The 24944-nt window shown below is 37.9% G+C and overlaps 2 annotated features.

Annotated features, from left to right (window-relative positions):
• Positions 21104-21901: an enhancer, noted in NCBI's record as "H3K27ac-H3K4me1 hESC enhancer chr22:34951271-34952068 (GRCh37/hg19 assembly coordinates)". NCBI's record gives its function as "activates a minimal SCP1, AML or CMV promoter by ChIP-STARR-seq in primed H9 embryonic stem cells {active_cell/tissue: H9 hESC(primed)}" and the evidence as "EXISTENCE:reporter gene assay evidence [ECO:0000049][PMID:30033119]".
• Positions 21902-22700: an enhancer, noted in NCBI's record as "H3K27ac-H3K4me1 hESC enhancer chr22:34950472-34951270 (GRCh37/hg19 assembly coordinates)". NCBI's record gives its function as "activates a minimal SCP1, AML or CMV promoter by ChIP-STARR-seq in naive and primed H9 embryonic stem cells {active_cell/tissue: H9 hESC(naive and primed)}" and the evidence as "EXISTENCE:reporter gene assay evidence [ECO:0000049][PMID:30033119]".

Below are 24944 nucleotides of genomic sequence, written 5' to 3'. Positions count from 1 at the left end.
AGAAATTGGGCCAGTAGATAAGTGCAGTAAATAAAAGTAATGTCATAAATGATGGTAGGAAGTAACTGGGAATGCTGTTTTGAAGTGCCTATGGTACATTTTCAATAATACAGAGTTATTTGAACGAAAACTTAGTTAAGTTTAAAATGAACATTGTAATCTCTAGGGCTATCATAATTTTTTAAAGAAGCGTAATTGATATGCTAATAGAAGATATAAATTATTTCTATTAATTTATATGCTAATCGAAACAGAAAATGAAATTGTATAAAATGCTCATTTAAAACCAGAGAAGGTAGAAAAAGGGGAGAAAGAAAGAAGAAAAATGCAACAAACAGGAGCTATAGATATAGTAGATATTAATCCAACCATATACATAAGTACTTTTAATACTAATGGCCTAAATATACCATATAGAAGACAAAGATTGTCAGAGAGGATAGAAAAAAACATATATATACTGTGCCTGGCATAGTATTATATGGCATGTAGGACCTAACTACGTGTTGTCTACAAGCAATGCACTTTGAATATAATGAGTCAGCTTGATGAAAAGTAGAGGGATAAAAAAAGATATAGAATGTTAACACTAATTTTAAAAAGTTGGATCAGTTAGATTAATTTTGGACAAAGCTGACTTCAGACAAGGAAGATTATCATCGATAAAGAGAGGTATTACATAATGATAAAGGAGTCAATTCCCCAAGAATATATAACCACCCTAAATGTGTACTGACCTACCAATAGAGCATCAAAATATATGAAGCAAAATCTAATAGAGTTGAAAGAAACATAGACAAATCTGCTATCATACTAGAGACTTCAGCACCTCTCCATCAGTAATTAATAGACCAACAGACCAAGCAGGCATAAAATCCATGAAATGTTCTGTCAGCCCACCCCAATAGCTGGAGTTACCCCAAAGCAGCAGCAGCAGAGTTCTTGCAAGAGACTGCCACAAGAACCCAAACCATCCTGAGATGGGGCCAGTTGAGATCTCAGAGAAAGAAGCACTAAACGCCAGGGTGATGATCAGTCTAAAGCATACAGTAAGGGGACCTACATGGGGTGGAGACTGCAACATGTCCTTTGGATGAACAAGAATACAGATGTTCTACTGAGGTGTCTCTGCAGTGAGAGGGTCAGATTATGGAATTTATGTGTGGGCTTAAAGAATTTGGCTAAAGGCCAGGTCTAGTTTCTACATGTTTAGCAACATTTTTTATATTTCCATGTTTCAGGCAACAACTTAAACAAGTTTATCAGGGCCTGTGAATGTTCAAAACCCCATCTTGGGTTCTTTTGTTATTTTGAGACAGGGTCTCCCTCTGTCACCCAGGCTAGAGTGCAGTAGCGCAATCCCAGTTAACTGCAGCCTAGACCCCCTGGGCTTAAGCGATCCACCTACCTTAGCCTCCCGAGTAGCTAGGACTACAGGTGCACACCACCACACACAGCTAATTTTTGTATTTTTTGTGGAGACAAGGTTTCATCATGTTGCTGGACTAGAACTCCTGGGCTGAAGCGATTCACCCGCTTCGGCATCCCAAAGTGCTGGGATTACAGGCGTGAGCTACCAGCGCCTGGCCCCCTGCTTGGGTTCTAACCTGCAAGGGAAAACATGCAGCTGGCCAGGTCAACACGGCAGTCAAGGACTGTTGTTTCTAGGTCAGGACACAGAAAAAAAAAGTAGGGAGAGAAAGGAAACTGGGGGACCCTACAAGGTATAACTGAATAATATTATCAATCAATTTAATTGAATTAAAATTTATAGGATACTCCACTCCAAAGCAGCTGAATGCATATTCTTTTTTATTTCACATGGAACTTTCACCAAGATAGACCACATTCTAGGTCATAGAACACATCTCAAGAAATTTAAAAGCATAGAAAGTATGCCACATATGTTCTTACACCACAATGGAATTAAACTAGAAAATCTCCAAGTATTTGGATTTTACACAACATACTTCTAAGTAACTGATGAGTTAAAAAAGGAAGTCTCAAAGTAAATTTAAAACATTTTGAACTGAATGAAAATTAAAATGCAACTGATCAAAATTTGTGGGATGCCTCAAAAGCAGTTCTTGGAGGGACATTTATAGCATTACATGCATATATTAGAAGAAAATCACAAACTAATATAGTAATTTCCAACTTGGAAAAAAATAGAAAGAAGACCAACAGCCTAAAGCAAGCAGAAAAAAAAGTAGAGCAAAAATCAATGTCATGGAAAATAGGAAAATAATAAAGAAACTCAACAAAACCCAATATTTGTTTTTTATTTAAAAATCAGTAACACAAAGGCCAGATGCAGTGGCTCACACTTGTTATCCCAACACTTTGGGAGGCCAAGGCTGGAGGATCACTTGAAGCCAGGAGTTCAAGACCAGTCTAGGCAACATAGTGAGATCTCTTCTCCACCAATAATTAAAAAAAAAATTAGCTGGGCATGGTGGCATGTGCCTGTAGTCCCAGCTACTCAGGAGGCTGAGGTGAAGACTGGTTTAGCCCACGAGTTTGAAGCTGAAGTGGGTTATAATCACACCAGTGCACTCCAACCTGGGTGACAGAGGGAGAACCTATCTCTAAAAAGAACAATAAAATAAAAAAAAATAAATCTTTAAGGAATTTCCATACTGTTTTCTATAGTGGTTGTACTAGTTTACATTCTCACCAACAGTATAAAAGTGTTCTCTTTTCACCATATCTGTGCCAACATTTGTTATTTGATTTTTAAATTATGGCCATTCTTGCAGGAGCAAGGTGGTATCACATTGTGGTTTTGGTTTGCATTTCCCTGATAATTAGTGATGTTGAGCATTTTTTTTCATGTTTCTTGGCCATTTGTATATCTTCTTTTGAGAATTTTAGCTCACTTTTTGATGGGATTTTTTTTTTCTTGCTGATTTGTTTAAGTTCCTTATAGATTCTGGATATTAGTCCTTTGTTGGATGCATAGTTTGCAAATATTTTCTCCCACTCTGTGGGTTGTGATTTCCTCTGCTGATTATTTATCTCACTGTGCAGAAGCTTTTAGTTTAATTAAGTCCCATCTATTTATCTTTGTTTTTGTTCTATTTGCTTTTGGGTTCTTGGTCATGAACTCTTCACCTAGGCCAATGTCTAGAAGAGTTTTTCTGACTTTATCTTCTAGAATTTTTAAAGTAGAACTACCATTGATCCAGCAATCCTGCTACTGGGCATCTACCCAGAGGAAAAGAAGTTATTATATGAAAAAGACACTTGTACATTCATGTTTATTACAGCACAATTTGCAATTGCAAAAATATGAAGCCAACCTAAATGCCCATCAACCAATGAGCAGATAAACAAAATGTGAAATATAGATATATCATAGACTACTACTCAACCATAAAAAGGAATGAAATAATGGCATCTGCAGAAATCTGGATGGAACTGGAGACTATTACTGTAAGTGAAGTAGCTCAGAAATGGAAAACCAAACATCGTATGTGCTCACTTATAAGTGGGAGCTAAGCTATGAGGATGCAAAGGCATAAGAAGGATACAATGGGCTATGGGGATTTAGGGGAAAAGGTGGGAGGGGGGTGAGGAATAAAAGACTACACGTTGGGTAGTCAGGTGGTACTGTTCAGTTGGTGGGTGCACCAATATCTCAGAAATCACACTTAAAGAACTTATCCATGTAACCAAACACCACCTGTTCTCCCAAAACTATTGAAATAATAATAATCTGAAGATTAAAGATCAATAACACGATAAAACCCCTAGCCAAGATAACCAAGAACAAAGAGAGAGAAGGCACAAATTTCCAATTTCAAAAATGAAAGGAAGATCAAGAATAATACAGGAATACTATAAGCAACTCTCTGCTCTCAAATTTGAAATGGACCAATTTCTTAAAAGATACAAACTACAAAAACCCACATAAGGAGAAACAGATAACTGGAATATCCTTATATTAATTAAAGGAATTGAATAGATAATTAAGAATTAACTATCTTTCCACCCCAAACCCCACCAATCTCAGGTGTTTTCAATGGTGAATTCTACCGAACACACAAAAAAGAAATAATATTAATTATTTGCAATCACTTTCAGAAAACAGAATCACAGGCAATACTTCTTAACTTACTAACTTAATGTTCTTAAGCCAGCATTATCCTAATACTAAAACCAGACAAAGACATTAAGGAAAGAAAATCTATACAGCAATATCTCTCATAAATGTAGATTTTTTTAAGAAGTCTTCAATCAAATACTAAGAGATTCATTCCAACAATGTATATAAAAAGAATTATATATCAGGACCATTTGGGATTTATTTCAAGTATGGAAGACTGGTTCTACATTCAAAAATCAATCAATATAAGTAATCTTATCAACAGGCTAGCAAAGAAAAATCATACAATCAGGTCAATTCTTGCAGAAAAGAACTGTCAAAATTCACTACCCATTCATGACAAAAACTCTAGCAAACTATGAATAGTTGGGAAATTCTACAAGTTGATAAAGAATATCTTCAAGAAAACCTACAGCTTATACCAAACTTCACAGTGAGAGACTGGACATTGTCCTGAAATTGAGAATAAGGCAAAGATATTATCTCTCACCATTCTTACTTATTGCAAATTGTATTAGAAATTGTAACTTTTATAAGAAAAAAGAGATAAAAAAGTATACAAATTAGAAAAGACAAATTAAAACTATTTGTAGACAACATGATTGTCTATGTAGAAAATCGCAGAGTATTTATGAAAGTCTCCTGTAACTAATGAGTGAGTGTAGTAAGGTTGAAAAATACAAGATCAATAAAAATGTCAAGGTTTTTCTCTTTAACAGCAATGAACACAGGATTTGAATTAAAAAAATACTATTTAGAAAACCACCAACAATAAAATATTTAAGTACAAATCAAACACAATAGATATAGGATCTGCATGTGGAAAACTACAAAACACTGATGAAAGAAATTTAAGATCTAAATGAATGGAAAGATATTCCATGCTCATAAATTGGACGACGCAATATTATTAAGATATTAATTTATCCTAACTTGATTTATGGATGCAACATAATATTAATAAAATTCTAATAAGCTATTTGCAGATATTGGCAAACTAATTTTAAATTTTAAGGGGAAAGACCAAGTACTTAGAATAACCAAAAGAATACTGAAGATGAACAAAGCTAAATGACTCACTTTACCTGATTTCATGACTTACAGAAGTACAGTAATCACAACAGTACGGCATTGGCAAATAATGGACACAAAGGTCAATGGAACAGAATAGAGAGCCCAGAAATAGACCCACACAGACATAGCCAATTTATTTTTGACAAAGGACCAAAGACATTTCAAGTGACTTTAGTGATGAATTGTTAGACACAAAATCAAAAGAACAATCTATGAAAGAAAACACTGATAAGTTGGACTCCATTAAAATTAAAAAGTGCTGCTCTGTGAAAGACACTGTCAGAATGCAAAGACAGCCATAGGATAGAAGAAAATACTGGCAAACTATATATCTAATAAAGGATTTGGAACCAAAATATATTCAGAACTCTTAAACTCAATAAGAAAACAAACAATCCAATTAATAAATGGACAAAAGATCTGAGCATCTCACCAAAGAAGGCAAACCAAAGTTGCCAGGTGTTTGGTTGGAGGAGCGGACTGATTATACAGATGGCAAATAGGCAGAGGAAAATACGCATAACATCATTTGTCATTAGGGAAATGCAAATAAAAACGACAGTGAAATACAGCTAACTACCTATTAGAAAGGCTAAAATCCAAAAAAACTGACAATACCAATTGCTGGCAAGAATGCAGAACAGCAGCAAATTTTATTCCTTGCTGGTGGGAATGCAAAATGGTACAGTTACTCTGGAATGCAGTTAAGCAGTTACTCACAAAGCTAAATGTAGTCTTACCAAATTATTTAACAGTTGTGTTCCTAGGAATGGGCAAAATTGATTTGAAAATTTGTGTTTACTCAAATCCCTGAATGCAAATGTTTATAGCATCTTTACTCATAATAGTAAAAAACTGGAAGCAACCAGGATATTCCTCAATGGGTGTAAAGATAAATAAACTCTGGCACATCTATACTTGGAAATTGATGTAGCAATAAAATGAAATGAGTTATTAAGCCTCACAAAAACAAGACTGAATGTTGGTGCATATTGCTAAGTGAAAAACGCCAGTTTAAAAACACTACATGTTGTATAATATTTATATAATATTCTAGAAAAGCCTAAAATGTAGAAATGGTAAACAGATCAGTAATTGCCAGCCTGTGGTTGTGGGAGGGGGCTGGTTAGGTGAGGAACAGAGGATTATTGAAACTATATTGGGTGATACTGTGATACTATAATTTTGGTTACATGACACTATGCATTTGTCCACAGAACTTTACAGCACAGACAGTAGACCTTCCTGCAGGCAAATTAAAAAAAAAAAAATCATTTAGGAGGTTGACAGATCCCAAGATAGAATGCAGACTGTGACAAAAGAGTCTAACGTATTACGTGTATGAAGCAACCTCACTGAAGGAAGTAGGGGAAAGAAGTGCTGACCTAAGTGACTTTGGAAATGAACAGACTCTGGAAGACTAAAGGCAAAATTAACTGCGCATAAGCCTTCTACTCTAGTTGATAAAGTTATTTCCCCAGGAGGTATGGGTTAACAATTCTAAAACCACTATACATGTAAACTGATCTGCAACTGAACAATTAAGTAAATGGATGGTGGATGGTGGGAGACAGGCTTCTCACTGCTGGAGTGGGAGATTACAAATAAGCTTGGGAAAAAAGCTAGAATAATCCATGAGGCAGTGAATTAGAATTGGAGACCTCAGTAAGAATTCATGTTTTGCTTAACATAGATAAGACTGTTTACATATAGAAACATACAGAAATATTTATAAATATGTATACATAAAGGGTTTAGTATACACACATATATTTTCTCATCTTGCCTGCTGAAAAGACCTGAAAGCAAAGATAACCTAGTAGCAATAAGCATGGCTTGTACCCCAATCTCAGTTTCTATTATCATTTTCTAATAAAAAGAACTAGGGCTTCCTCGAGAAATGGCTAATTCTAAGGCTGGAGAAGTAAATATACAAGATAAGCCTAGAGCGTCTTGTGGTGCTAGAAAATAGAAAAACGTTTTTTTAAAAAAAATTGGAATAATTTGAGCAACAAGATAAAGTAGCCTTAGATTGTAATGCAGAGTATAAAATAAAAATCTATAAATCAAAACTGACATAAATAAATTATTGAATAGCGGAAAAGACAAAAATCTCCCATGCAGAAGAATTTCAAATAATTTATGTAGATAATCCACCGTCAAGGAATGGGAGCAAACCTCTCCACTCCTTAAGTATGGACTGTACAAAGTGATTTCTTTCCAAAGAGTATCCTGTACTTTGGAAATGGGGGAAAAAAATAGAATACAGAGAAGAAACCTGAGAAGCACTTCCTTTACCAGGTGTTCAAGATTAACATCAATAAGAAGTCATATTGAGAATTTACGCTGGTAAGATATGATATGATAATGGCATTTTACCTCTTTGATCTTTCTCCCAAGAACATATTATCCCGGTTGAGACATGGAAAAAAAAAAAATCAAACAATCACAAGTGAGGAACATTCTAGAAAATACCTAACCAGCACTCTTTGAAACTGTCAACATCATCAGAAAGAAGAGAAAAGATTGAGAAGCTGTCATAGCAAAGAGGGGCCTAGAGAGATATGAGGACTAAATGTAATATGGTGTCCTAGATGAATCCCGGAACAAAAGAGGCACATTGGGTAAAAACTAAGGAAATCTGAGTGAAGTGATGACTTAGTCATAAGGTATCAATATTAGTTCATTAGTTGTGACAAATATACTATAGTAATGTAATATCTTAATACGGGAAACTGGGTGTGGTGTGTATAGAAATTCTCTGTACTATATTCTTGATTTTTCTGTAAATCTAAAATTATAAAATTTAAAATTAAAATGTTTATTGATACTGACAAGTGACTCCATAAAAATGTGTCAGTGTTACACTTCAGCCAACTATATATGAGAGTTTGTTTCTCTGTACCCTTGACAAAGTTGAACATTATCAATCCTCTTAGTATTTGTACATTTGAGAGGTGACAAATGATATCAATTACAAGGGAGATTTAGCATCTTTCTACTTATTGACTGGTCATTTACATTTCTTTCTCTATAGCTGTATGTTGCTATCCTCTGCTAATTTTTCAATCTGGTCATTGATCTTTCTTTTCTGCGTAGAACTTTTGGCATGGTTAAAAAAATTTCCTTTTCTTTCATAGATTTGAAAATATTTTTAGACTATTTTCTTTTGACATTCTCTAAATTATTTTAAGTGTGGAAAATTTATTAAAATTAATGGCAAAAACTGCAATTACTTTTGCACTAACCTAATAACTGCTTTATAAAATGAAATCTCTCTTTATTTTTTTACAATTTCAGGGTTTAATCATGCTTCTATCTTATTCCCGAATTAAATCATCAGTGGCTTAATTACTGTGTATGGGTCCCTTTAAGCCAGCACCTAATAATTTTAGGTGTTCTTGAAAGGATGTTGCAAATGGGTTCACAACTCCACTGTCAGCTCAAATTCTTTCTGGGCTTTGGTCTGTTTCCTCTCCTGCCATGTCACTTGTTTTCTGAAAGGCATGTGGAGGCAGGTGCCTGTGTCTATCCTAGAGACACCAACACTCATGAGTGAGAAGAATGTTGTCCTTATATGATCTCAGATGCCAGTCCTCAGGATGTCAGAATAGGTTTGGTTGGTTCAGTGTAGTGGCACAAATGTCTCTCTTTGTAAAGTGCCTTTTTCATGTAGTTTCTGTATACGCCTGGCAAATCACCAGTTATTCTTAATATCCTTTGATGGTTTCTCCTAACTTCCTGTTGATTCAATGCTATATTTATCCATCAGGAATCAGGCACTGATTGCTTCTTTGTCTAACAGCATTCACTTTTTTAGTGATCTCAGTTAATTTCATGGCAATAAGCTAATGCTTCCCTGCTATGTAGTCTCCGGTATAATTGTACCCTGAACCTATCTCCTTCTTTAGATTTATATACCCAAGTGCCAGTTAAGTATTTCCACTTGCTTATCTAATAGACAACTCATGATTAACAAGTCCAAAATTGACTCCTTATCCTCACTCCCAAGTCTTCAGCCCTCAGTAACTGATAAATCCATATTTCATCTGCTCAGTCCAAAAATGTGGGAGTCATTCCTTGTAGTTCACATCACACCCCATATCCAATCTGTCTGGAAATTCATCTAGTTCCAACTTCAATATATATTCATAACCCAAACAGTTTTCAACGCTCCTACTGATATGTACCTGGTCCAAGACACCATCCTGCCCTGTCCTCTTTCTTCTAGAATTCTGCTCAAGCCCCTACCTGGCCTTCCTATGTACGCCCTTTGGTCCTACAATCTATCTCTATATATTCCCCAGAAAGATCCTTTTAAAACATGTCAGAATATTTTACTTCTCTGCTCAAAATTCTCACATGGCTTCCCATATTACTCATTAAAGACTCACACCTTCACAATTGGCCTTAAAGCCCTACATTAGTTCATCCCTCTGCTATTTTGCTGACTTCATCTCCAATACGCCCTACTCACTCACTGAGCTCCAACCATGGTTTTTTTTTTTTTTTTTTTTTTTTTTTTTGCCATTTTTTGAATACACTAAGAAGGTATCCTTAGAGCCTTGGCAGTCGCTGTTTCCTCGACTGGAATGCTCTTTTCCCAGATAAGCACATGTCTTACTCTCTTTTCATTTGGTTCTCTGCTCATATGACATTTCCTCATAGAGGTCTCCCCCAGACATCCTATCTAAAATAGTAACTCCCCCAGCACTCTCTGCTTTATTTTTCACCACTGCCTTGTTGCCAACCGACATGCTATACTTGTTTATTGTCTAGCTGCTTCTACTGGCATACAAACTCTATGTAGAAGATATATTTTATTATATTCATGGCTATTTCTCTAGCAAAAAGAACAATGTCTCTCTTTTTTTTTTTTTTTTTTTGATGGAGTTTTGCTCTTGTCGCCCAGGCTAGAGTGCAATGGCATGATCTCAGCTCACTGCAACCTCCGCCTCCCAGGTTCAAGCGATTCTCCTGCCTCAGCCTCCCAAGTAGCTGGGATTACAGGTGCCCGCCAGCATGCCCGGCTAATTTTTGTATTTTTAGTAGAGACAGGGTTTCACCATGTTTGCCAGGCTGGTCTTGAACTCCTGACCTCAGGTGATCCACATGCTTCGGCCTCCCAAAGTGCTGGGATTACAGGCATGAGCCACCACACCCAACCAAATAGAACAATGTCTAGAACTTAGTATATATCAATAAATATATGTTGCATAGGCGAATACATTTCATTATGTGCCTGACAACCAAACCTGTGGTAGACACAAAACTCTAGATCTGATCCCGTCTCTTGCCCATTTTCCCTCCTGAGCTGTGTCCATATTTGCATTCCCTGGTGCCTCACTGGTGAGCACAGTATAGGCATTTATTGCTTTCTTGGTAAACAGAATTAAATTCCAAGGGCCTTGGCAAACTAGAGGGGGGAGCCAAAAGACCAGAACAGAGACTCTGGGAGCAAGTTGAGAAGATGCCACTGGGGAGAATAACAGAAGCACAAAGAAGAGATGGCTGGAGAGTGGTATTGAGCCAGATCTAGTGTCAAGGTGTGCTATGAACTGTTTGTGTATCCAAAATTTGTATATTGAAACTAGTCACCAGCATGATGATTTTAGGAGTTGGGGACTTTGGCAGGGGAATAGGAAATGAGGGAAATGTCTCCATGAATGACATTAGTGTCCATATAAGATACTTTACCCCGGAGGGGCGTGGTGGCACACACCTGTATTTCCAGCACTTTGGGAGGCCAATGTGGGCCATTCACGAGGTCAAGAGTTCAAGACCATCCTGCAACATGGTGAAAACCTGTCTCTACTAAATATACAAAAATTAGCTTGGCGTGGTGGCACGTGCCTGTAGTCTCAGCTACTCAGGAGGCTGAGGCAGGAGAATCACTTGAACCCGGGAGGCAGAGGTTGCAGTGAGCCGAGATCGCGCCACTGTACTCCAGCCTGGCGACAGAGCAAGACTCCAACTCAGAAAAAAAAAAAAAAAAAAGATACTTTACCCCTTCCACTATGTGAGGACACAGTGAGAAGGTGCCATCTGTGAACCAAAAAGCAGGCCCTCACCAGATGCAAATCTCCAGGCACCTTGATCTTGGACTTCTCAGTCCCCAGGACTATGAAAAATAAATTTAGGTTGTTTACTACCCAGTTTATAGTATTTTGTTATAGCACCACTAATAAACTCAGACAAGGCTGATGCAGAGATAAACATAATTCCACCATTTTTTTTGTGCTGTTTTACTTCCACAGGCTCTCAGTTTCATTTTATTCATTTCCAATTTCCATCTAAAGGTAGCAGGATCATATGGTGGAAAAAGTCCTGGACTTGGAAATCAGAAAGACCTGGGTTAGAATGCTGGCTCTGATAATCAGGGCTGAACAAACTTGGATAAGTCATTTAATCTTTGGGAATGTCTCCTTCTCTGGGTTTGCAAGAGTATTAAGAAATAAATACCATTGCACTCCAGCCTAGGCAACAAGAGTGAAACTCCATTATCAAAAAAAATAATAATAATAAAAGAAAAGAAAGAAAGAAATGGGAAAAAAAACCTTAATATCCCCTACACAACACAGAGCAGTTATTCAGTAAATGTAAAATAAACCTATTCTGTTGGCAGGAATTGACAGACTCTTGATATATGATGTTACATCCTTCTTGCTTTATTTATTTAGCATCAGCTGGTGGAATTAGTCTCATCTGTTTGCCTTTCTTTTAGACTCTTTTTCCACTCCTTCCTTCCTTGAATGTCCTCTTGTCTGATTCTATGGACCCACGGAATCCTTGTGTCAATCTGCTTTTTCTCTTTATTTGGAAGATGCTAAACTTCAACTTTTAGAACACACAGGAGCAAAAGAGAAGATGGTTCGGTTTTTTTTTTTTTTTTTTTTTGGACGAAGTCTAACTCTGTCGCCCAGGCTGGTGTGCAGTGCCACGATCTTGGCTCACTGCAACCTCTGCCTTCTGGGTTCAAGCGATTCTCATGCCTCAGCCTCTCAAGTAGCTAGGATTACAGGCGCCCACCTCCACCTGGATAATTTTTGTATTTTAGTTGACGGGGTTTTACCATGTTGGCCAGGCTGGTCACAAACTCCTGACCTCAGGTGATCCACCCGTCTCGACCTCCCAAAGTTCTGGGATTACAGGTATGAGCCACCATGCCCGGCCAGTTGGATATTTTTATCCTGAGAATTGGAGGCACCAATTTGTATATATTAATATATATACTGTCTGTCTCTCTTTCACACACACACATACACGGACACACACAAACACACACACACACACACACACACACACACACACACATTTAGGAGCCATGGGGATAGAAAGGAGTGAACATGGAAAGGAGGTAGTTTCAAAACCCCTGCCCCAGCATTGCTCACTTTAGAAGCAGAACTGCTTCACGGAGCCCCTGGGAAGCCCTGTAAATGTATCTCTCATTGTATGATGTCAGCAGGTTCCCCACCGGGAAGCAGTAAGGGCAGGTGAGGGTTTCGAATTGCCAGAGCTCTTGGGGCGCTTGGTGCTTGGCACGGCCTTGATGAGAATGCACATGGCCACCCTCAGGAGCTCTGGCTTCTGACCCACAGGAGGGAAAAAGAGACTCCAGAATTAGGACTGAACTTAAATTCTGGGAGAAGGGACCGTCTCCAAGACCAGTGAGCATTATCCCCGAGTGACACACTTGACAACATTAGAGAAAGTGAAAGCTCCCTCCAGATGCCTCTGTCTCCACGGCTACTGCAATTTTCTTCAGCTTCCCTCTGAGTTCCAATCCACTGCAGAGCAATTTTCATCTGAATTAAAACAAAGCCTTCCTTCCAGGATGGTGTCCTCAAAAGGTACACACCTTTTAGGGCCAAAAAAATCTATGTTTGAATTCCACCTCTGCCAGTTAATGCTGGTTAGTTTTAGGAAAATCAGCTAATGTCTCTGAGACTGTTTCCTATCTATAAATTGAGAATGATAATACCTGTTTCACAAAATCTAAAATATTAAACGAGAAAGCATATGTGTAACATGAGCCTGCATTTGTCAATCATTTCTCATCTATATAGAATACACCCACGTCACAAAACCTCTTTATCTTTTCCAGTTTTAGGGAGAATTTCTGAAGCCTAGGATTCCCTTGTAATGTGATTTGAGCTCCTGTCATTGATACTACACTGTACCTCCCCTATTACTTCTCCAATGTTGATCTCTCCTACTCACCTTTCCTCTTCAGAAGACAACATGGCCAACCTTCGAACACTCTACTCAGCTGGTCCTCCAAGAACTGGACTCTTTGAATACTCTCATACCCCACACCTCTGCTTACCAGCCAAGGAGACCCAAATATTATATACTTGTAGATAAAGACAACGGAGTATGTCAGTAATGCATAATTCTTCGCTTTAACCCTTGCCCTCCTAACCTCCATTTTCTATATAGCCATAAAACTGCCCTTTTTTGTGGCTGTGTAGTATTCCATAGTGTATATTTACCACATTTTCTTTATCCATTACACCACAGATGGGTGCCTAGGACGATTCCATGTCTTTGCTATTGTGAATGGTGCTGCAATGTACATAGAAGTGCATCTTTCTTTTTGGTAGAACGGTTTATTTTCCTTTCAGTATATACCTAGCAATGGGACTGCTGAGTCAAGTGGTAGTTCTGTTTTAAGTTATTTGAGAAATTTCCAAACTCCCTTCTGCAGTGGTTGAACTAATTTATATTCCCATCAATCGGGTATGAGAATTCCCTTTTCTTAATGGAGGTCATTGCCCTAAGCAGATTAAGTCAGGAACAGAAAACCAAATACCACATGTTCTCACTTTTAGGTGGGAGCTAAACATTGGGTACCCATGGACACAAAGACAGGAGCAAAAGACACTTAGGGCTATTAGAGGGGAGAGGGAGGGAGATGAGCAAGGGGTTAAAGAACAACCTGTTGGGTACTATACTTAGTACGTGGGTGGTGAGATCAGTTGTACCCCAAACCTCAGCATCACACAATACACCCATGTAAAAGTCTGCACACGTACTCCCTGAATCTAAAATAAAAGTTGAAAAAAAATGCTTATTTTAAAATTTATAAGGATCTCACTCCTCTGCTACAATATTCCAATGACCTCCAATCTCATGAAGAGTAAAAGTAAAGACCTTTAACCCATTTATGCCGCAGGTTATAATTTTGTGTGTGTGCATGCATGTGCGTGTGTGTGTGTGTGAAAAATCAGACCTTGGCAATGACCTTGAGCAGTAGGATATAAATAACTCCCACAAGCTTAGGATTCCAATAATGGAACACTAGGCATAAACAAACGGGTTGAGCTCCCCTGCAAGGTCCTCTCTTGTTCTTCCCTTTGTTTCCCAGGCTGCCACTTTCTTCTCTGGGGTGATAAGCAGCTGCTATGAGTGGTATGTAATTCCGTCATTCATTTCACTACCAGATTGACAGAATAATCTTCCTAAATAATCAGTCTCACTACTTCACTCTTTTCTTAAAAACTTTTACTGATTTATTTTTATTTATTGGGGAATGCTGCAGGAACTGATTTAGTTCATAAGCTCTTCAGTCAGACGAAATCTTGACTTCACCTCCTGGGATCTCTGTGACGTTAACACAGATCTCTTTGGCTCACTTTACTAATTAAATCTCTCTTTGGCTCACTTTACTAATAAAATATGAATAAGCATAACACCTGATGTAAAATCTCTAGTACAATACCTACTCCCTAGTAAGTAATAAAAAATGACAACTATATTTGCTGAATTACATAACAGGACAACAGACTCTTGGTAGTGTCATGCAAGATCCTTTTTAATATCATTTAAACCTATCTCACTTTTAGATTCATCTGGCATATCTGTCCTAATGAATAGTGCTCACTAGCTATAGTTAACTTTTCATTATTACCTAAGGAAAGTGTATTTTTCATGATTGCCTTTCCTTAGCATAGCCTGGCCTTCACCTCTATTTCCACCTGGCAAGTTTCCATTCAACCTTCAAGACCCAGTTCAAAAATCGAGTTAAGATGGTAGACTGAGGTCACCTACATTTTATACCTTCTTCACAAAAATCTCTTGGAATAATGGAGAACATATTGTTTTAAAAACCCCAAACCAATAAATGGTTAACAATGCTGGAAAACGCAAGAGAAGGTGATCAATGGACTGTAATTTTGATGTATATTTAAAATATAGAAAGCAGTCAGAATATCTCTACTTCTGGTTATCTGGGGAACTTTTTGAAAAACTTCTGAAGAAAAAAACATGCTTAGAAATGATAGATAAACTGTAACAAACATTCTTTCAGATGCATAGCTGAGCTACTGAGAAAGAAAGATATATCTTCAGGGACCTAAACAGAGGGACGAGTGAAAATTAAATTTGTAAGCTGCCACCCATGCAGCAACTATCCTGGGAGCATTTGCTATGCTTACTAGCCAAGAGGTTTGAGTTTTAATGCCTGCCAGGGAAGAAAACAAGGCCTTTTGCCTTTTAAAAATGGAAGTTGGAATCTAGACCTGTGTAAACCTGGAACCCTTAAGGGGCTATACTGCAGGTAAAATGATATGCTAGAATAATATCTCTCTGCCAACAAAGGAAACTAAAAGGAAAATTGTCTGTCCCAGGATGGGCTTTGGGGGAAAAAAAATCTTCCCTGCCTATTTATAACCACAGCTCTCTATTATGAGGAATTAGGGTCTAAGAAACCCTAAGCACATCAGGGCCCCATTTATTAGGAAGTGAAAATTCTCGCCGGAGAGAAAGACCTTCCATGCATTCTTCACAGGGCTTTCAAAGCTGAAGAAGCACTGAAAAGGGTATCTAAGTTCAAAAAGAAAAGCATAAAAACAAAATAAATCAAGCAAGAGAACAGGAGTCAGCAGAAAGAACAAACACCAAAATTAGACCCTCAATAACACTGGCTAATAAAATTACTGGATTCAGAATATAAATAAGTAAAAAAAAAAAAAAAAAAAAAAGCAGAAGTGAAGCTATAAGAAATCAACCATATACAATAAAAAATATAAAGTAGGACCTTCAACAAAAAGAAAACAAAGAGACTGCTTAAAAAATGGGCCAAAGACCTTAACAGACACCTCACCAAAGAATATATATATATATATATATATATATATATATAGCAAATAAAATATGAAAAGATTCTCCATATTGCATGCCATCATATATAAATGCAAATTAAAACAACGAGATGCCACTACACAGCTTTTGGAATGGCCAAAATTCAGAACACTGACAACATCTAGGAGGAATTTTCAATGCACCTGTATTCAAATTTCTAGGAAAGAAATGGAGAGAAAGAAATGGAGAGAAAGGGGATTTGGCAATTAAAGATATGATGAGTAATGATTTTCTACAGTCAATGAAGGAATCGTGCTTTCAGATTTAGAAAGCACAATAAATACTAAATAAAATCTGGGTATTTAAAATTTTCGTAGTTTGATATTTTAAAAATCTACATTTGAACAAGTTGCTATTATACTGGAAAGCACAAAAATAGAGAGAACTGGCCGGACATGGTGGCTCACACCTGTAATCCCAGCACTTTGGGAGGCCGAGGCAGGCAGATCACAAAGTCAGGAGATCGAGACCATCCTGGTTAACAGGGTGAAACCCCGTATCTACTAAAATACAAAAAATCAGCCAGGCGTGCTGATGGGCACCTGTAGTCCCAGCTACTCGGGAGGCTGAGGCAGGAGAATGGCGTGAACCTGGGAGGCAGAGCTTGCAGTGAGCTGAGATCGCGCCACTGCACTCCAGCCTGGGCAACAGTGAGACTCCATCTCAACCACTGCTCAATGAAATAAAAGAGGATACAAACAAATGGAAGAACATTCCATGCTCATGGGTAGGAAGAATCAATATCGTGAAAATGGCCATACTGCCCAAGGTAATTTATAAATTCAATGCCATCCCCATCAAGCTACCAATGACTTTCTTCACAGAATTGGAAAAAAACTACTTTAAAGTTCATATGGAACCAAAAAAGAGCCCACACTGCCAAGACAATCCTAAACCAAAAGAACAAAGTTGGAGGCATCACGCTACCTGACTTCAAACTATACTATACTACAAACTATACTACAAGTAAACAAAACAGCATGGTACTGGTACCAAAACAGAGATATAGATCAATGGAACAGAACAGAACCCTCAGAAATAATGCCACATATCTACAACTATCTGATCTTTGACAAACCTGAGAAAAACAAGCAATGGGGAAAAGATTCCCTATTTAATAAATGGTGCTGGGAAAACTGGCTAGCCATATGTAGAAAGCTGAAACTGGATCCCTTCCTTACACCTTATACAAAAATTAATTCAAGATGGATTAAAGACTTAAACGTTAGACCTAAAAGCATAAAAACCCTAGAAGAAAACCTAGACATTACCATTCAGGACATAGGCATGGGCAAGGACTTCATATCTAAAACACAAAAAGCAAAGGTAACAAAAGCCAAAATTGACAAATGGGATCTCATTAAACTAAAGAGCTTCTGCACAGCAAAAGAAACTACCATCAGAGTGAACAGGCAACCTACAAAATGGGAGAAAATTTTCGCAACATACTCATCTGACAAAGGGCTAACATTCAGAATCTACAATGAACTCAAACAAATTTACAAGAAAAAAACAAACAACCCCATCAACAAGTGGGCAAAGGATATGAACCGACACTTCTCAAAAGAAGACATTTATGCAGCCAAAAGACACATGAAAAAATGCTCATCATTACTGGCCATCAGAGAAATGCAAATCAAAACCACAATGAGATACCATCTCACACCAGTTAGAATGGTGAACATTAACAAGTCAGGAAACAACAGGTGCTGGAGAGGATGTGGAGAAATAGGAACACTTTTACACTGTTGGTGGGACTGTAAACTAGTTCAACCATTGTGGAAGTCAGTGTGGCGATTCCTCACGGATCTAGAACTAGAAATACCATTTGACCCAGCCATCCCATTACTGGGTATATACCCAAAGGACTATAAATCATGCTGCTATAAAGACACATGCACATGTATGTTTATTGCGGCACTATTCACAATAGCAAAGACTTGGAACCAACCCAAATGTCCAACAATGACAGACTGGACTAAGAAAATGTGGCACAAATACACCATGGAATACTATGCAGCCATAAAAAATGATGAGTTCATGTCCTTTGTAGGGACATGGATGAAATTGGAAATCATCATTCTCAGTAAACTATCGCAAGGACAAAAAACCAAACACCGCATGGTCTCACTCATAGATGGGAACTGAACAATGAGAACACATGGACACAGGAAGGGGAACATCACACTCTGGGGACTGTTGTGGGGTGGGGGGAGTGGGGAGGGATGGCATTAGGAGATATACCTAATGCTAAATGACGAGTTAATGGGTGCAGCACACCGGCATGGCACATGTATACATATGTTACAAACCTGCACATTGTGCACATGTACCCTAAAACTTAAAGTATAATAATAAAAAAAAAATAGAGAGAATTTACTGTAGCAGGTAAGAAGAAAAGAGAGGCAACAGCTTGAAACTTAAAACTTATAAGACTGTTTTTCAGAAAAACAAAACTAAATGTTTTAAAAAGCCCCTTACTCAATTAATATTTAAGATACATACAGCAGGAAGAAGAAACTTGGGTCCAGGCGGAGGACATGGAGACAAGAAAGGATACTCAGCAGAGCAAAAAATCAATGTATAGATTTTTATAAATATTATTTATATGAAACAATGATAATAACAATGACTAACTTATAAGGGTGTTCATAGCAAGTTAGAAATAAAAACCTACTAGGTAATAATTTAAATCATATGAGTATATGATCACGACATTTTTCTAAGTTTCTTGTATAGTTCTGATGAAGATTAATTAAATTTTAAAGATGAATCCCCAAAACATAGAAATTTAGTGTATAACATATAAAAGTGAAAAAAGAAAACTATTTGATCAGTTAAAAATAAGCCAGGAAAAGAGAAAAGCAAGTATAAAATAGGTAAATTAGAAAACAAAAAGGTAGACATAAATTCAAATATATGTTCATATATACAATGTTTGTACACACGTATACACACATATCTGCATGCAAATGTTTACAATATTGTATATAATTATATATGTACATACATATTTTTAAAACTCAGTGTTATAGATTATGTTCCCCCAAAATTCATATGTTGAAGTCCTAAGCCCCAGTATCTCAGAATCTAAACTTACTTGGAAATATGGTTGTTGTAGATGTAATAAGTTAAGATGAGGTCATACCAGCATAGGGTGGGTCCCTAATCCAACATGACTAGCGGCCTGAGGAAAAGGATAAATGTGGGCACAGAGACATACACACAGGGAGAACACCATGAAAAGATGAAGGTGGAGATCGGGCTGATGCCTCTATAAACAAAAGAATGCCAAAGATTGCCAGAAACGCCCCAGGAACTAGAGAACTGGTGTAGAGAAGATATTTCCTTACAGACATCTGAAGGAACCAATGCTACTGACACCTTGATCTCAGACTTCCAGCATCTAAAAGTGTGAGACAATCAATTTTTGTGTTTAAGCCATGCAGTTTTTGGTACTGTATTATGGCAGCCCTAGCAAAATAATATACTTGGTAAATAACAAAATGAAGGGAGAAATAAAGATGTCATTTGAAACCAATGAGAACGAAGACACAATGTACCAGAATCTCTGGGACACATTTAAAGCAGTTTGTAAAGGGAAATTTATAGCACTAAATGCCCACAAGAGAAAGCAAGAAAGATCTAAAACTGACACTCTAACATCAAAATTAAAAGAACTAGAGAAGCAACAGCAAACAAATTAAAAATTTAGCAGAAGACAAGAAATAACTAAGATCACAGCAGAACTGAAGGAGATAGAGACACAAAAAACCCTTCAAAAAAATCAATGAATTAAGTTACATGTGTTTTACAAGACAAACATTTAAAAGATAAGGATAAACAAATGTTGAAAGTAAAATAATTGGAATGAACATTTATAAGATAAATTCTGGAAAAAAGAAACCTGGCACATTATAGTAATATCAGGAATAAAATGTTAACCTCAAAACAAAAGCTTCATGGTGATAAAATACAGCATTATATTATCATTAAAGAAATGAACTTCACCAGAAAAATATGGTAGTCCTGAACCTGCACGTGTATTGCATGGCTATGTGTGCACTACATATAGGCACATACATCTATATATAACTTATAACAGAAAAATAAACAGAATGATAACATTAAATTGAAAATTTTAAAATTATTGTGGATAGCAGTAAGATAATTTAGTTCACTAGTCTCACTATTCAATAGAAATAAACAGAATGACAACATTAAATTGAAAAATTCGAAATTATTGTAGACAGCAGTAAGATTATTTAGTGCACCACTCTCAGTATTCAATAGAAAAAGCAGACAAAAAAAATCTAAGAATATAAAACAACAGAATAGCACAAATGAAAAGTGGGTTGAGCAACATAATTAGCAAGCTTGATCTAAGAGCCTTAGAACACTGCAGCTCAATTATTTCACATTTTCTCAAGCATATAATAAACATTAATGAAAATTAACGCCTACCAGGTCATAAAGCCTGTCTCAACAAATTTTCAAAAAGTATTACTACATGTATCACATTTCTTAACACAATACAATTTACATTAGAACATTTTAAAAATATGCAATGATCTGGATGAGATTAGAGACTATTATTCTAAGTGAAGTAACTCAGAAATGGAAAACCAAACATCGTATGTTCTCACTGATATGTGGGAGCTAAGCTATGAGGATGCAAAGGCATAAGAATGATACAATAGACCATGGGAGCTTGGGGGGAAGAGTGGGAGGAGGGCGAGGGATAAAAGACAACAAATACGGTGCAGTGTATACTGCTCGGGTGATGGGTGCACCAGGATCTCAGAAATCTCCACTAAAGAACGTACTCATGTAACCAAATACCACCTGTACCCCCATAACTTATGGAAAAATAAAATTAAAATATATATATTTCAAGAAAGAAAAATTAATATTGTAAATGCTATATACATGTCTCATTTTATAGGATAAAGCTGAAAGCTCAATTAGTACAAAACTGATGTTCTTCAAAATTGTGCTAAAAATATGAAAATGATGAGATATTCATGTAAGAATCTAGACTAAAATAAAATAGAATAATGATAAAGATAATTGAATAAGGAAAACAACAAATATAAAATCATACAACAATAAAGTATTTTAAAAATGTAAGTAGAGACCTACTTCGTGGGGAGGAGCCAAGATGGCCGAATAGGAACAGCTCATGTCTACAGCTCCCAGCGTGAGCGACGCAGAAAAACGGGTGATTTCTGCGTTTCCATCTGAGGTACCGGGTTCATCTCACTAGGGAGTGCCAGACAGTGGGCGCAGGCCAGTGGGTGCGTGCACCGTCCGCGAGCCAAAGCAGGGCGAGGCATTGCCTCACCTGGGAAGCGCAAGGGGTCAGGGAGTTCCCTTTCCGAGTCAAAGAAAGGGGTGACGGATGCACCTGGAAAATCGGGTCACTCCAACCCGAATATTGCGCTTTTCAGACCGGCTTAAAAAACGGTGCACCACGAGACTATATCCCACACCTGGCTCAGAGGGTCCTACGCCCACGGAATCTCGCTGATTGCTAGCACAGCAGTCTGAGATCAAACTGCAAGGCAGCAGCGAGGCTGGGGGAGGGGCGCCCGCCATTGCCCAGGCTTGCTCAGGTAAACAAAGCAGCCCTGAAGCTCGAACTGGGTGGAGCCCACCACAGCTCAAGGAGGCCTGCCTGCCTCTGTAGGCTTCACCTCTGGGGGCAGGGCACAGACAACCAAAAAGACAGCAGTAACCTCTGCAGACTTAAATGTCCCTGTCTGACAGCTTTGAAGAGAGCAGTGGGTCTCCCAGCACGCAGCTGGAGATCTGAGAACGGGCAGACTGCCTCCTCAAGTGGGTCCCTGACCCCTGACCCCCGAGCAGCCTAACTGGGAGGCACCCCCCAGCAGGGGCACACTGACACCTCACACGGCAGGGTACTCCAACAGACCTGCAGCTGAGGGTCCTGTCTGTTAGAAGGAAAACTAACAAACAGAAAGGACATCCACACCAAAAACCCATCTGTACATCACCATCGTCAAAGACCAAAAGTAGATAAAACCACAAAGATGGGGAAAAAACAGAACAGAAAAACTGGAAAGTCTAAAACGCAGAGCGCCTTTCCTCCTCCAAAGGAACGCAGTTCCTCACCAGCAATGGAACAAAGCTGGATGGAGAATGACTTTGACGAGCTGAGAGAAGAAGGCTTCAGACGATCAAATTACTCTGAGCTACGGGAGGACATTCAAACCAAAGGCAAAGAAGTTGAAAACTTTGAAAAAAATTTAGAAGAATGTATAACTAGAATAACCAATACAGAGAAGTGCTTAAAGGAGCTGATGGAGCTGAAAACCAAGGCTCGAGAACTACGTGAAGAATGCAGAAGCCTCAGGAGCCGATGCGATCAACTGGAAGAAAGGGTATCAGCAATGGAAGATGAAATGAATGAAATGAAGTGAGAAGGGAAGTTTAGAGAAAAAAGAATAAAAAGAAATGAGCAAAGCCTCCAAGAAATATGGGACTATGTGAAAAGACCAAATCTACCTCTGATTGGTGTACCTGAAAGTGATGGGGAGAATGGAACCAAGTTGGAAAACACTCTGCAGGATATTATCCAGCAGAACTTCCCCAATCTAGCAAGGCAGGCCAACATTCAGATTCAGGAAATACAGAGAACGCCACAAAGATACTCCTCAAGTAGAGCAACTCCAAGACACATAATTGTCAGATTCACCAAAGTTGAAATGAAGGAAAAACTGTTAAGGGCAGCCAGAGAGAAAGGTTGGGTTACCCACAAAGGGAAGCCCATCAGACTAACAGCGGATCTCTCGGCAGAAACCCTACAAGCCAGAAGAGAGTGGGAGCCAATATTCAACATTCTTAAAGAATTTTCAACCCAGAATTTCATATCCAGCCAAACTAAGCTTCATAAGTGAAGGAGAAATAAAATACTTTACAGACAAGCAAATGCTGAGAGATTTTGTCACCACCAGGCCTGCCCTAAAAGAGCTCCTGAAGGAAGCGCTAAACATGGAAAGGAACAACTGGTACCAGCCGCTGCTGCAAAATCATGCCAAAATGTAAAGACCATCGAGACTAGGAAGAAACTGCATCAACTAACGGCAAAATCACCAGCTAACATCATAATGACAGGATCAAATTAACACATAACAATGTTAACTTTAAATGTAAATGGACTAAATTCTCCAATTAAAAGACACAGACTGGCAAATTGGATAAAGAGTCAAGACCCATCACTGTGCTGTATTCAGGAAACCCATCTCATGTGCAGAGACACACATAGGCTCAAAATAAAAGGAAGGAGGAAGATCTACCAAGCCAATGGAAAACAAAAAAAGGCAGGGGTTGCAATCCTAGTCTCTGATAAAACAGACTTTAAACCAACAAAGATCAAAAGAGACAAAGAAGGCCATTACATAATGGTAAAGGGATCAATTCAACAAGAAGAGCTAACTATCCTAAAAATATATGCACCCAATACAGGATCACCAAGATTCATGAAGCAAGTCCTGAGTGACCTACAAAGAGACTTAGACTCCCACACATTAATAATGGGAGACTTTAACACCCCACTGTCAACATTAGACAGATCAACGAGACAGAAAGTCAACAAGGATACCCAGGAATTGAACTCAGCTCTGCACCAAGCGGACCTAATAGACATCTACAGAACTCTCCACCCCAAATCAACAGAATATACATTTTTTTCAGCACCACACCACACCTATTCCAAAATTGACCACATACTGGGAAGTAAAGCTCTCCTCAGCAAATGTAAAAGAACAGAAATTATAACAAACTATCTCTCAGACCACAGTGCAATCAAACTAGAACTCAGGATTAAGAATCTCACTCAAAACGGCTCAACTACATGGAAACTGAACAACCTGCTCCTGAATGACTACTGGGTACATAACGAAATGAAGGCAGAAATAAAGATGTTCTTTGAAACCAACGAGAACAAAGACACAACATACCAGAATCTCTGGGACGCATTCAAAGCAGTGTGTAGAGGGAAATTTATAGCACTAAATGCCCACAAGAGAAAGCAGGAAAGATCCAAAATTGACACCCTAACATCACAATTAAAAGAACTAGAAAAGCAAGAGCAAACACATTCAAAAGCTAGCAGAAGGCAAGAAATAACTAAAATCAGAGCAGAACTGAAGGAAATAGAGACACGAAAAACCCTTCAAAAAATTAATGAATCCAGGAGCTGGTTTTTTGAAAGGATCAACAAAATTGATAGACCACTAGCAAGACTAATAAAGAAAAAAAGAGAGAAGACTCAAATAGACACAATAAAAAATGATAAAGGGGATATCACCACCGATCCCACAGAAATACAAACTACCATCAGAGAATACTACAAACACCTCTACGCAAATAAACTAGAAAATCTAGAAGAAATGGATACATTCCTCGACATATACACTCTCCCAAGACTAAACCAGGAAGAAGTTGAATCTCTGAATAGACCAATAACAGGAGCTGAAATTGTGGCAATAATCAATAGTTTACCAACCAAAAAGAGTCCAGGACCAGATGGATTCACAGCCGAATTCTACCAGAGGTACAAGGAGGAGCTGGTACCATTCCTTCTGAAACTATTCCA

This window comes from Homo sapiens, chromosome 22, assembly GCF_000001405.40.
Source record: "Homo sapiens chromosome 22, GRCh38.p14 Primary Assembly".
In the NCBI taxonomy this organism is placed as follows: domain Eukaryota; kingdom Metazoa; phylum Chordata; class Mammalia; order Primates; family Hominidae; genus Homo; species Homo sapiens.
The sequence above is the reverse complement of the archived record's forward strand: the minus strand, read 5'-3'. Positions and strand labels throughout refer to the sequence as shown.